We start from the raw sequence: 13,127 nt of genomic DNA on the forward strand, positions 1-13,127 counted from the left end.
ACCAGCATCACTTCTACATTCCTCAGTTTAAAATCATGTAATATCTTGAGCAGTAAAACTAGAAAGAGATTTTTTCCTAATAGGTGAAATTTAGCTGTCTTTCGGACAGTGGATATGGAAATATCATTTATGATTATTTCAGATGGGAGATATTCTTGGTCCTGGTGAATTCCATAGCAGGAATTTAAAACAGGACTCTTTGTTGTGTCTGCTTGGATCACTTACAGCCCTTGGTACCTGCCTCTTTGGAAGGCACCTCCGGTCACATCAGGAGCATGGATGGGGCCCCACCTGCATACACATGGTAAGTCTATTACATGCTCAGGCTTCACTGGCCTTTCATCTGCCAGGACAGGGAGAACTGCACTTACTCGCTCAGTGAAATTGTCCACAGAGTAGTCCGGAGTCGACGCAACGTAAATGTCCTCAGTGACAAGACAGATGGTGGCCTTCTGAGCTGCTCCTGCAGCCCACAGGATGCCAGCAAGCGCCGCGGCCAAGGCTTGCTCCTGCTCCTTCTTGCTTATTTCACATAAGCTATAATGCAGAAGGCAGGAGTAGGAAACCATTGGAATGAACATCACCTAGCCACAGAGATGGGAAGTAATTTGCTCCTGGTCATTGACCTTCAAAGTCAGAGAGCAGCGATTTACACCCAGCTCACCTGGCTCCAAAGTTCCTGCCCTTGACTTTTATACTGCATTGAATACACTCAGGGTCTGTCTAGCCTTCCCAAGAAGTGGGAGCCAGTCTTTACACAGTGGGAGACCTTTACTCTGCTTATTTCCCAAACATTTAACATTGAGAACTATAGTCTTTATAAAGAAACACGCGATAAAGATTTATTAATTAACTCAGCAATGATTTATACAATCCGTCTAGCTCTGTGGTGATACAGAAATGAGTAACAAAAGGTCAGGCACCGTGGCTCATGCCTGTAATCCCAGTACTTTAGGAGGCTGAGGCAGGTGGATAACTTGAGGTCAGGAGTTCAAGACCAGCTTGGCCAACATGGCGAAACCCCTTCTATACTTAAAATATAAAAATTAGCTGGGCATGGTGGCAGGCGCCTGTAGTCCCAGCTACTTGGGAGGCTGAGGCAGGAGAATGGTTTGAACCCGGGAGTCAGAGGTTGCAGTGAGCCGAGATCATGCCATTGTACTCCAGCCTGGGTGACAGAGTGAGACTCCATCTCAAAAAAAAAAAAAAAAAAAAAAAGTCAAGGAGCCTAATACTCCAAAACCATATGGCAAGATAGAATGAGAATAACAGAGTGCTATGAGAAAACACGGGAAATAGAGACACCTTGTGACTGGGGGGCTCAGGAAGGCTTCGTGCAGTGTGTCTACAGACGTAGTTACTTGTTCACATTTATTTAATATTTGCCATAGGCCAAGTACAGTGCTGTGCTAAGTGCCTTACCTTTATGTGGCAAATATATGTGTTCCATTTGAATTCCCTGTGATCCATTTTACTTAGGAGATGGACTCATCCTCCAGCTACTTTGGATACCGTGGCTCCCATTTTTCTACTTTCTCTGAAGGATTGAAGCCACCTTGCCCAGAAGTCACTGGGAGTTATGCCTCCTCCCTAAGGATGGCCCACAGCCAGTGCCTCATTGGAGCAAGAGGTACAGAAGCCCTGCTCCCTCATCTGAAGATGGGGCAGGCTCCGCAGTGCAATCCATGCACCCGAGCTCCCATGGCATCAGACTGACATTGCTGGAAGCCACAGTCTTCCTCAGCTTCTCCTTCCCTGTCCTGCTTCCCTCACTCCCTTATGGTTTTCTCCTGAGGGCACTCCCTTAATAAATCACTTGCGTCAAGAATCCACATCATGGGCTCTGCTTCTAGGGAAACTGGCAGTTCACAATCTTAGAATATATTATATATTTAGTTCCTCTTTGGGGGTAATAACTTTACCTGCCTGAGGGCAGAAGTATTTATATTTCCTCTAATATTTAGCACAGGGCTTTGCACATGATAGGGGTTTGTTAACTTCTAGGAATAAAGTAATTTGAATAAACTTGAGCTGATCTTTAAAAATAGGCAAAAACCAAACATCATACCTTATCAGCCTGGTTAAATAGGAGGATTGGCCGGGTGCAGTGGCTCACGCCTATAATCTCAGCACTTTGGGAGGCCGAGGTAGGCAAATCACCTGAGGTCAGGAGTTCGAGACCAGCCTGGCCAACATGGTGAAACCCTAGCTCTACTAAAAAAAAAAAAAAATACAAAAAATTAGCCGGGTGTAATCCCAGCTACTCAGGAGGCCGAGGCAGGAGAATCACTTGAACCTGGGAGGCGGAGGTTGCAGTGAGCCGAGATCATGCCATTGCACTCCAGCCTTGGGGACAAGAGTGAGACTTTGTTGCAAAAAAAAAAAAAATGGAGGATTGATCATTTATGGGGTTTTTATATCACCCCTTTGTTCCTCCCTAATTATTAGGTTAGAGCTTTCCATCAAATATGGACAAGTAGGCCCACCTGAGACCTGCTGCTTAATTCTACCTGACAGAGTGGTCTGCAGTAGAGCATAAAACCTGTCAACATTATCCCTGCAAATGAACATTCAGAATGACTCCAGCAGAGCCCTTCCCAGTGGCAGAATCCAGCCTCTCTGGGACAGACAGGGCCATTTCTGTCTTAGGAGGTAGATTTCCTTTCTGAGACAACCTGAATTTTTCAGTTATGATTATTTAGCATATCAAGATTCTAGTGAAATGGGTAATTCAAGTACTTCTCACAGTCCTCTTACTTGCCAAGGTTACAGTCTTTTCCTTTCCTGGTAAACAACAAGTATTTGATGATGGATCCTTGCACAGCCATCTGAATGCTTCGGGCCCCTCCCTGAAATGAGGAGAATGAATGACGAGGTGAAGAACTCTTGGAAATTAATGTTATCTATTCTTCTCTGCAGGCTTTTCCCTCCTGGTATCCCCCAGAGCTTTGTGAAGGGACACCATGCTATATTTGTGCCACTCCTCCCTGCAGCCGTGGCTGGTGCTGTGGCTGGGCTGGATTCTGCAATGCCTAGCATCTTTGTGGAGACCTGTGGACTGGTGACTGGGGATGTATGGCTTCCTCCATCTTGCCTTCACCATGTCCCTGCTTCATAGTAGTTTTTTTTTGGGGGGGGGGGTGGGGTGCAGTCTTGCTCTGTCTCCCAGGCTGGAGTGCAGTGGCCTGCCCTCATCTCACTGCAACTTCCACCCCCTGGGTTCAAGCAATTCTCCTACCTTAGCCTCCCGAGTAGCTAGGATTACAGGTGTGCACCACCATACCCAGCTAATTTTTGTATTTTTAGAGGAGACAGGGTTTCACCATGTTGGCCAGGCTGATCTTGAACTCCTGACTTCAGGTGATCCACCTGCCTCAGCCTCCCAAACAGCTGGGATTACAGGTGTGAGCCACTGCACCCAGCCCATATCAGATTTTTAGATTTGTTACAAAGTAATTTTAAATAGTCTGTTATCATTTAAGGTTAAACTTTACATTATAAATATATTTCTACACATGATTATAATGAAGACATGCATTTACATGGATGTGGACAGGAAGGATATATGGATAAGGAACATGGGAATAAGGTTTTTTAAAAATTATAAACTGGCTATTACCTTTCCCACTTCCAGAGTGAAAGCTAGTTCAGAAGAAGGATCATGGAACCTGAAATAGGCCTTTTTCCAGTTATAGCTAAAGACATGGACTGTGTTTCCAAACAGGATCTGCCGCAGCTTCTGAAAAGAGGGGAAAGAAATGATTCAACAAAAGAGAATTCTTCCTAGACATATTCCTCATGGTGGCCTCATGGCCACCTCAAGGAGGTGGGCCTCGTTCCCTTCTACATTCAGGTTTACATATTACTCTAGTCCCTGATTTTAATTGTCTGAACTCCTGAGCAGAAGATGTCTAGACAACGTTTGTCCCTCGTGTCTCTCCTTCCTTTGCCAGGCATCTACTTTGCAGTTCACCGTGGCTGCTCTGTGTCTACAGCTCTTGCCCCATACCCATGACTTGTAACCCCTGCCTCTCCCATCTTTGAGCTTTTGTCTCTCACTCCAGAAAAAAGGAACAGTCAGGATCTCATGTTTCCAGCCTGGTACAGTAGCGATTTAAACAAGCATTCTCTCTGTCCCAGGGTCTTTGAGGTTTTCCTATACTCTGCAGCACGTTGAGATTCAAGAGGATGTTTTACAGCTTCCCAGAAAAATGGGAACAAGACTTTTTATAAACCAAATGTATGAAAAAAAGGGAATCTATTCAAAATCAAAGACTGATTGATCATTTAGCATGTACTCGATCTTGTGTGGGATATAGTTATGTAAAAAGTCTAACACCCCACAGCTATGTACAAGACAGAACATGTGACTTTCCATAAGATAAGTAAAAAGTACTATGAGAAAACAGAGGGAGGAGAGAGAACTTCTGACTGAAGTACTCAGGAAGGCTTCATGGAAGAACTGGCATTTGAATGAGGCTGGTCAATGGCATCTAGCATTTACTGAGCATTTTCTATGAACCAGGCTCTGGGATAAGTGCTTCCCATTTATTCCCTTCATTTAATTTTATGCAGTTGGTGCTATTATCCAGCTTTTATCCAGATGAGGGAACCGAGACCCAAATAAGTTAGAGTATTTGCCTTTGTTCACCCAGTTAGTAGACACAGCTGGGTTTTTACCCATTCTCTTAACACCTGCCCTACTTTAATCATGTAAGTATCATCCTTATGATTTCTATCATTTTTGTATACCAACCATTATCTAATTAATACTTCAGGAGGCTGAAGATAGGGCCCCAATCTGTTCTAGCTTGTAGGATTTCTGCTGAGAAATCTGCTGTTAATATGATAGGTTTTCCTTCATAGGTTACTTGGTGCTTTGGTCTCACAGCTCTTTTTTTTGTTTTGTTTTGTTTTGAGACAGAGTCTCGCTCTGCTGCCCAGGCTGGAGTACGCTGTCACGATCTTGGCTCACTGCAACCTCAGCCTCTGGGTTCAAGTGATTCTCCTGCCTCAGTCTCCTGAGTAGCTGGGATTATAGGTGTGTGCCACAACACCTGGCTCATTTTTGTGTTTTTAGTAGAGACAGGGTTTCACCCTGTTGGCCAGCCTGTTCTTGAACTACTGACCTCAGGTGATCTGCCGGTCTTGGCCTCCCAAAGTGCTGGGATTACAGGCATGAGCCACCACACCTGGCCTTGTCTCACAGCTCTTAAGATTCTTTCCTTCATCTTAACTTTAGATAACCTGATGACAGTGTTCCTAGGTGATGATTTTTTTGCAATGAATTTCCCAGGTGTTTGTGCTTCTTGTATTTTGATGTCTAGGTCTCTTGCAAGGCTGGGGAAGTTTTCCTCTATTATTCCCCCAAATATGTTTTCCAAACTTTTAGATTCCTCTTCTTTCTGATTATTCTTAGAATAATAGAAGAATGCTGATTATTCTTAGGCTTGGTCATTTAACATAATCCCAGACTTCTTGGAGGCTTTGTTCATATTTTCGGATTCTTTTTTCTTTGTCTTTGTTGAATTGGGTTAATTTGAAGACCTTGTCTTCGAGCTCCAAATTTCCTTCTTCTACTTGTTCAATTCTGTTGCTGAGACTTTCCAGAGCATTTTGCATTTCTAGAAGTGTGTCCACTGTTTCTTGAAGTTTTGATTGTTTTTTATTTATGTTATCTTTTTCCTTGAATATTTCTCCCTTCACTTCTTATATCCTTTTTTGGATTTCCTTACATTGGGCTTCACCTTTCCCTGGTGCCTCCCTGATTAGCTTAATAACCAACGTCCTGAATCCTTTTTCAGGTAAATCAGGGATTTATTCTCAGTTTGGGTCCATTGCTGGTGAGCTAGTGTAACTTTCTGGTGGGGGAAGGGGGGCATTAAAAAACCTTGTTTTGCCATATTACCAGAGTTGGTTTTCTTGTTCTTTCTCATTTGGGTAGGCTCTGTCAGAAGGAAAGTCTAGGGCTGAAGGCTGTTGTTCAGATTCTTTTGTCCCACGGGGCGTTCCCTTGATATAGTACTCTCCCCTTTTCCTATGGATGTGGCTTCCTGAGAGCTGCAGTGATTGTTATCTCTCTTCTGGATCTAGCCACCTAGCAAGCCTACCAGGCTCCTGGCCAGTACTGAGGGTTGCCTGCACAAAAGTCCTGTGATGTGAACCGTCTGTGAGTGTCTCAGCCATGGATACCAGCACCTGTTCTGGTGGAGGTGGCAGGGGGGTGAAATCTATCTAATTAATACTTTTCACCAGCTTGGGACACATTTTGTAACTTGGAATCTATTTATTTAAGAAGGACACTTTACATAACTTCCTTCAATGGAAATCAAAATCATTTGCCACACATGATAAAAATATAATGAAAATGAAACAATGCTACAAATTACAGCTAGAAACTGCTGCCTGTGAAAGCTCTGACTGGGCCTTAAAAGGGAGGTAAGAAGTATTAAAGAGGTGTGAATGTGTACTGCCCTTTACTGTACTGTCCTTTTCTCTGACCTGTCAGAGTGGACAAGGGGATCACTTTCTCACTAGGTAACTCAAGGATATGTAACACGTTACTTAATGCCATATCCCTAGAAGCACCCCTTGCTCCAGCACAGACACACATCTCACACTCTGGAACATGCCACACACCAGCCTGTTACCTGTAACAGAGGGGAGACTAGACAGAGAGAAAGATCTACAAACATGCACACATCAGTACCTGGGGTGTCCCTAGATGAGGAGTAAGTGTTCAATGTGACTGGAACTGTGTGTGTGTGTGTGTGTGTGTGTGTGTGTGTGTGTGTGTGTGTGTAGGCCAAGGGGTAGGAAGAAGAGTAGAAGCTCAGATTGCAAAGTACCCTGGGCCTGATCCTGGATAACTTTGAATATCATATTCAGGCACTTGCAGCCAGTCAAAGAGTGTGGACAAACGGAGCGTGGAGCTCAATGGGCCCAGAGCTGAGGTGCCTCTTCCCAGCTGTGCATGGAGCAGGCCCTGAGAGTAGGCTCTACTGGTTTCTAAAAAGGAAAGACGTGGGAGAAGCATGCATCTGTAATGTTCTTCCTATGTTGGCCCAGGGGCCGGTTTAAGGTTAGAATTTATTTCCCGGCCATCTCTACTTCCACCCTCAAAAGAAAAGGTTGTCTCTACTGAGAAAAGGGGGCAGGTGCACTTCAGGGTGAGCAAGGACCCACTTGAAGAAAAACTATGTGTTCTCTGTCTCAATGCAATAGCACTTCAAGGAGAGGCAGCGAACAGGCACAGAGGCTGCTCTGGAAGACACAGACTTGGTGTGTGCTATGGTCAAAGAGAGCCCTAGACCCAGAACATCCCCAGGACAGGCATTGAAAACTAATGGAAAATGTTTCCCTGACATTGAGATTGCACAGCACAGAAAGACTGCTCCCAACTCAAGGGCAAAGAAGCCCCAGTTCTGCTCCTTACCAACCATGTGAACTTGGACAAATTACTGAACCTCTCTAAGACTTAATTTACTTATCCAGAAATGGGGTAACCCCTGCTTGGTCCACATCCTGGCTATTGTTGAAAGAGAAGCATGGCAAAGGGCTTTGGGAACCATAAGTGCTAAGTAAATGTAGGGTGTTATTACCTTTGTGAAAACACAGCCTGTCTATGCAGGAACATCTTGTGCCGTATGGAAGAAAGTCCCAACACAGATGGAAAAAGACCAGAGACTGGCAGCAATAAGAGAGGAAAAGCTGTGTATAAATGTGGAAGATTAAGACCGTTGAGACTAAGAAGGCTTAGAATTTAAATTCAATTTTAAAAGTTCTGCAAGCCAAACCACACTCTTATTTCTGTTGCCAGTTCCCACCTCCAACTTAGAAGCTTCTCTCTCCAGCTGTCCCTCTGAGGAGGTCTAAAAACAGAGGGGCTGCAGTTCTCTCTGGCCAGGCCCCGTTGGCCAGTGTGACAAAGATGACCCAACTTACTTGTGTAACATTTACTTTCCAATATCAGATATTATTTATAATGAGATTAACCTGACACATAATTACATGTGCTGTTGTGCTGTCTAGTAACTAGAAACAGATGGTAAATGGTCCTCATAAGTGGCTGCCATGATTATTATTAACATAATCAAGCATGGTTTATAGTTTTTCTCTTTGTGCTTTGCTAGTATTCTATATTTGTGAAGAATTCCTTTCTTTCCTGGCACTTTGTTCCATTTGATTGCTATGATGACAGTGATGGTGATCATCATTTAGACACACACATTTTATACACACATTCAAAGATAGAGGCCCTGAATCATTCTTTCCAACAGGGTTAATGTTCTTACCCTGACTGCCTTGTACTTTGTCCCGGGTTTAGAGCTTCCCTGTGACCACCTGCCCACCCCTAACTTGAGGTAGACTAATCCTCTTTAAAGCTCCTTCCCTAAATCTCTTCTTGCCTTATGAATTACTAGACCATCATGGAATCAGAGATTCCAAGATGTTCTAAGAAGACATTTCTATCCTAGACCAACTAACAGAGTAGTAGACTCTTGGTTCTATCATGTTTGCCATCAATTTCTTAGCATCTGGCATAGTGCCTGGTATGTAGTAGGCTCAAAATAGGTATCTGTTGAAGTTTTAAAGTTCTAATTTGGCTCTTTCATTTTACAGTGAAAGGACTAGAGGCCTAGGTCAGCTAAATGGCACATGTAAGGTCATGTATATAGTAAATGGCAGTGCCAGGACCCAAATGCAAGCCTTTCAACTTGTACCAGCCAGCGTCCCAGCAGGAAACAGATGGCATTCTCAAGTCAGATAATTAATTTGAGGAACATTTAAGACAGAGACTATTTATAAAGATGTGGGCTCGGTGTGGGGACACCACAATGGCTAATGCAGTGTCCCAGCAACAGTGGGAAGTCATTATGACCCCTAGACCTGAAGGAGCACACAAAGGAATGGTGACTTGAACCAGAAAGGAGAGAGTCCTGGGGAGAGGACTGCCATGAGAGGAGAGGGACTCAGCTAGCCACGAGCAACCTGACTTCACTTCCCTTCCCTCCCTTCAGTTTCCTTTCAGGGCTCCCCATTGCTCAAACTCAACAGGAAGCCAGAGGAGGGGGGCACCCTGCTGATGGAGGTCAGTCTTGCTACAGGTCAGCCTCTCTACTGGGCAGAGGGTAGGTCGGAGAAGAGTGGACCATGCATCTGGAGGGGCACACAAAGGACACCCCTACTCTAGTCTGAGGTGCGCTAGAGGATTATCCAGAGGCACTGAATTCATTAACTCACACCTGTCGAGACCCATCTATGAGCTAGACCTTATGGGGGGACACCCGGCTGTGCTTCCTTCCAAAAAGCACACCCTGCCTATTATCCCATTTCAGAGCTTCATTCATTTGAGTCTCTCCAGAATATTTTGGTCTCTTGGTATTACATTTTTACTATGATTCTTCTGGATGATATTGCAGCTACAGAAATGTGTTCAAGGCTGAGTCCAGAAAAGGGCCTGGGAGTGGGAGAAGGTGGGAAACTGCCACTGGAGAGAAGGAAGGTCATTAGGTGGGGCTGGTGGAATAGCCTGGAGGCGATGCTCACCTTTCCCACGATTTCACCTGAGCCAGCAGCCTTGGCCAGAGTTTGTTCCAACACATATGTTCAAAGATGTCAGGCTGGAGGAAGGAAGAAAGCTGTAGTATTGGAAAGAGGACAGCAAAAGGTGAGAAACAGGAGAGCTAAGGAAAGCAAAGGTGCGTAGGGTGCTTTACCCAACCTCCACTTTCAGAGAAGATTCCCAGCAAAGAGACAGTGTGTGCCAATGTCAGGAAATGCCATGCATCCGTAATCCAAACAGAGAAGAGAAAAGAATAGCAGAATGACAACAAAAGGATTTCTGGAGTGGTATTAGGATTCAATAGCTCTGACAATTTGCCAGGTGGCTGCACTGCTGAAACATCGATTAGAATTGGTCAAGCTTCCAAACTGCCTCCCTAGAACAAGCATATTTAGAATCCCAAGCTTGTCATCCTGAATTCCCAGGATGTGTTTAATTAATGCTACTGCTATTTAAAGGACTCATGATCATCTGGCCCATATAATGGGAATAAATCCAAATTTATTTTTTTTTAAAGAAAAATCAATTATCTCTATTTCTGGGACTTTCTTAACACCCTATCAACTTCATTTCTAAATCTTTTGTCTCCTAGCTTTTTCCAAAGGGAGAACATTACCTTGGCATAGTCATGGGGCGGTCCCCAGTTGCTTCATGTTTGTGTTTGTAGATAAGTGGGAATATTCAGACTCAGAGTTTCTCGCCTCCCCAGTACAGAGAAAGACTAGAAGATTTTGCAAATGTCTGTGAATGCTTTTTCTATTTTTAAAATTTGTGTGTGTGTTTAAAAAATAGTATATTCATGTGGTTCAAAATCCAGAGAGACAAAAAGGTATGTGGTGAAGACTCCCTGCCATCCACGTCTCCCTTGTACCCACTGTTGTGTTTTAGGAAGCCTTCTGGAATTACTTCTTTTACAGGCAAGTATCAATATAGAATCATAATTGTCTCTCATTTTCACATAAAAGGTAGCCTATTTTTCAGATACGTGTAAATTTTAAAATGACATTCTCTAAAGAAATTCATTGCAGAAGCCAAGAATACATTTTTATTAAAGTTTTTCATTAAAAACATTTCCTTGTCAAGTAAAATGCAGATAGTTGCTCTAACTTCTGGTCTATACCACAGTGTAGGCAGCAGAATCACTGAGGGCTGGGGGCCCTGGCAAGGATTACATATTATCTATCTTCGTTGCTTGAAAGGACAGCGATTAAGTATCTATATAAGATACAAGTTAAGGCTCCATCCAGAGGCTTGAAGGCCAGTGAGCTGAGTGCAGTGTTCCGGGAGCTCTGCATACCTGCCCATCTTCCTGTGGCTTCAGGCATCTGAGCAAAAAGAGGAAAGCAAGGTGGATTGAGGCAGATAGATTTTCTTTCTTTTCTTTTCTTTTCTTTTTTTTTTTTTTTTTTTGACAGAGTCTCACTCTGTTGCCCAGGCTGGAGTACAGTTGCGGGATCATGGCTAACTGCAACCTCTGCGTCCTGGGTTCAAGCGATTCTCCTGCCTCAGCTTCCTGAGTAGCTGGGACTACAGGATGTGCCACCATGCCTGGCTAATTTTTGTACTTTTAGTAGAGATGGGGTTTTGCCATGTTGGCCAGGCTGGTCTTGAACTCCTGGCCTGAAGCAATCCCCCTGCCTCAGCCTCCCAAAGTGCTGGGATTCCAGATGTGAGCCACCATGCCCGGCCAAGGCAGATAGATTTTCGACAACGAGAAAGAGCAAGTGAGGCCTCCCAGTGCATCTGTACTGCAAGTGTGATGGTGGAGAAAGTTATTTGGTGAAGCCTGGGAGGTTTTGTATGATAAAAACGAATCCAGGGGCTGTGTGGTCCCTGCATCTGATTGTGTCCTGTCTCGGGGAGCTTAAGGAAAGGTTATATCGAAGCTGGAAATACCGCAGTCAGGGTCACCAGCCTTCATTCTCAAAAAGCAGACGGAAACTCTGTGTTAGGCTTCATGTGGTTTCCCCGGAAGAAGTTTTAGTCCCCACTCATCCTCTCAGCTGGGATCTTGTGTGCAGTGCACAAACTGTGCAACTCGATGTACATGGCAGGCCTGACTGCAGGGCCAGTGTTGCTGGTCTTTGCCCAGATGCCTAGGCTGGTCCTGGGTTGTTTCTACAAACATCCATGTGTGACAGCATGTCCTCAGGAAGAAGGTCCCTCTTCCAACTCTCATTCTTAAGGCCCTGAGTAGAGGTCCCTGCCTGAGCTTCTAGGATGTAATGTGGAGGTTTAGAAGATAGGGTGATGATGGGGAAATTGTCTTGAGAAGTCCCGAGTTTCATTATGATTTCAAGGGCTACACTGGAGGGCAATCCAATGGGAGGGGCATCTCAGCCTCTCTGGTACTTTTACCTTGGCTTGACCCTTGCCTCTGCTTCCCAAGTTTCCAATGGCATCTTTTTGACCATGACAGCTGGTCCTTTGGACATTTGCCAAGGCACTACCTCCAGCTTTGGCCTATTTGACCCAATGAGATGCCTTTAGTTTTGCCTCCTGGCTGGATCTCTGCCTCAGCCCCTTGCCCCCACCCTGGTGAAGTCTTGAATTGAGCAAATGGTCCCCGGGACCAATAGCTTACAGATCCTGGTGATTTGGATCCTGAAATGTCATGTTCTTTTCAAATCTGCATATTAATTGGTAGCCCCAGAAAACTGTTTCTTTCTTGAGATTAGCTACCTGCCCAGGACATGGCCTGACAAGTTTCCCCAGCTCTCTCCCTCCTGCATGCATACAGGTGGGGTACTTTCTTACACATCTACATTGTCTTACGCATTTGCAGCGCTCCACAGTCTGCCACTTAGAGAGTCTGTCCTATCCTACCTTCTATAGTGAGTTATTTGAATGTAACTCACTCCCTCAAATTTCACTGTCAAATTGAAGAAGTGAATAAAGAGAGACTCAGAGTTTGGGAGGAAAGGGCTGTACTGCCACAAGTGTCCTTGAAGAATACCATAAATAAGTCATTTTAATTATATTCTCCTTTTACCAATAACAACCATCTGTAGTCTTATCTTCAATATACTCTCACATGGCAGGAGATAAGATTCCCCAGCCTTGTTGTTTTGGGAAGATTACGTTTCATTTCATGTTTAATTGACAAGCTATACTTACCGTGGCCATTGCTAGGGAGATAGGAAAGCCACCCAATTTTGAAGAGATGATAGAGGGGTTGGGAATAGAACAAAGGCCACTTGATGGCAAATGTCCTTGTCCTTTGGGCTGAGATAGTCCTGTTCCATCTTCATTTTCATCAGCAGATGTATGGTTGCCTTCATGATTCTGTGCAAATATCACCCCCACAAAAGACAAAGCAAACAGAGCTGGTGATGACCTTGTTTTAAATTTTCTCTTTTTCTCTCTGAAATACCAGTGTTCAGAAAATGTTGTCTCACTTTTAAAGACGTCTGAAAATTGTGATAAATAGCAATAAAAGAGGCAGAAAAATCCCAGTGTCTGTGTCAAAGGGGTTTCTCATAAGGGTTTATATGACTTGGAGAGGTTAAATGTAACTATGGAAACATAATTAATGCCATCAAGACCTTGACTTGAAATTATG

General features: G+C 44.2%; 1 protein-coding gene and 1 long non-coding RNA gene across 2 annotated transcripts in view; one reads left to right on the top strand and one right to left on the bottom strand.

The window, feature by feature from the left end:
- MINDY4B (MINDY family member 4B) overlaps positions 1-13,127 on the bottom strand; it is a 35,064-nt gene that overhangs the window by 20,191 nt on the left and 1,746 nt on the right. Inside the window, exons 3-6 of the mRNA NM_001351281.2 lie at positions 12,683-12,850; positions 3,620-3,739; positions 2,758-2,849; positions 372-537 (exon numbers count right to left, since the gene is read on the bottom strand). Of these exons, the coding sequence (NP_001338210.2) occupies positions 372-537; positions 2,758-2,849; positions 3,620-3,739; positions 12,683-12,850 (546 nt within the window). The remainder of the gene's footprint in view (positions 1-371; positions 538-2,757; positions 2,850-3,619; positions 3,740-12,682; positions 12,851-13,127) is intronic.
- LOC124909446 (uncharacterized) lies at positions 4-1,832 on the top strand. The gene is made up of 2 exons (XR_007096131.1): positions 4-304; positions 1,480-1,832. It is a non-coding gene; the product is annotated as an uncharacterized LOC124909446 (long non-coding RNA).

Source organism: Homo sapiens, chromosome 3, assembly GCF_000001405.40.
Source record: "Homo sapiens chromosome 3, GRCh38.p14 Primary Assembly".
In the NCBI taxonomy this organism is placed as follows: Eukaryota; Metazoa; Chordata; class Mammalia; order Primates; family Hominidae; genus Homo; species Homo sapiens.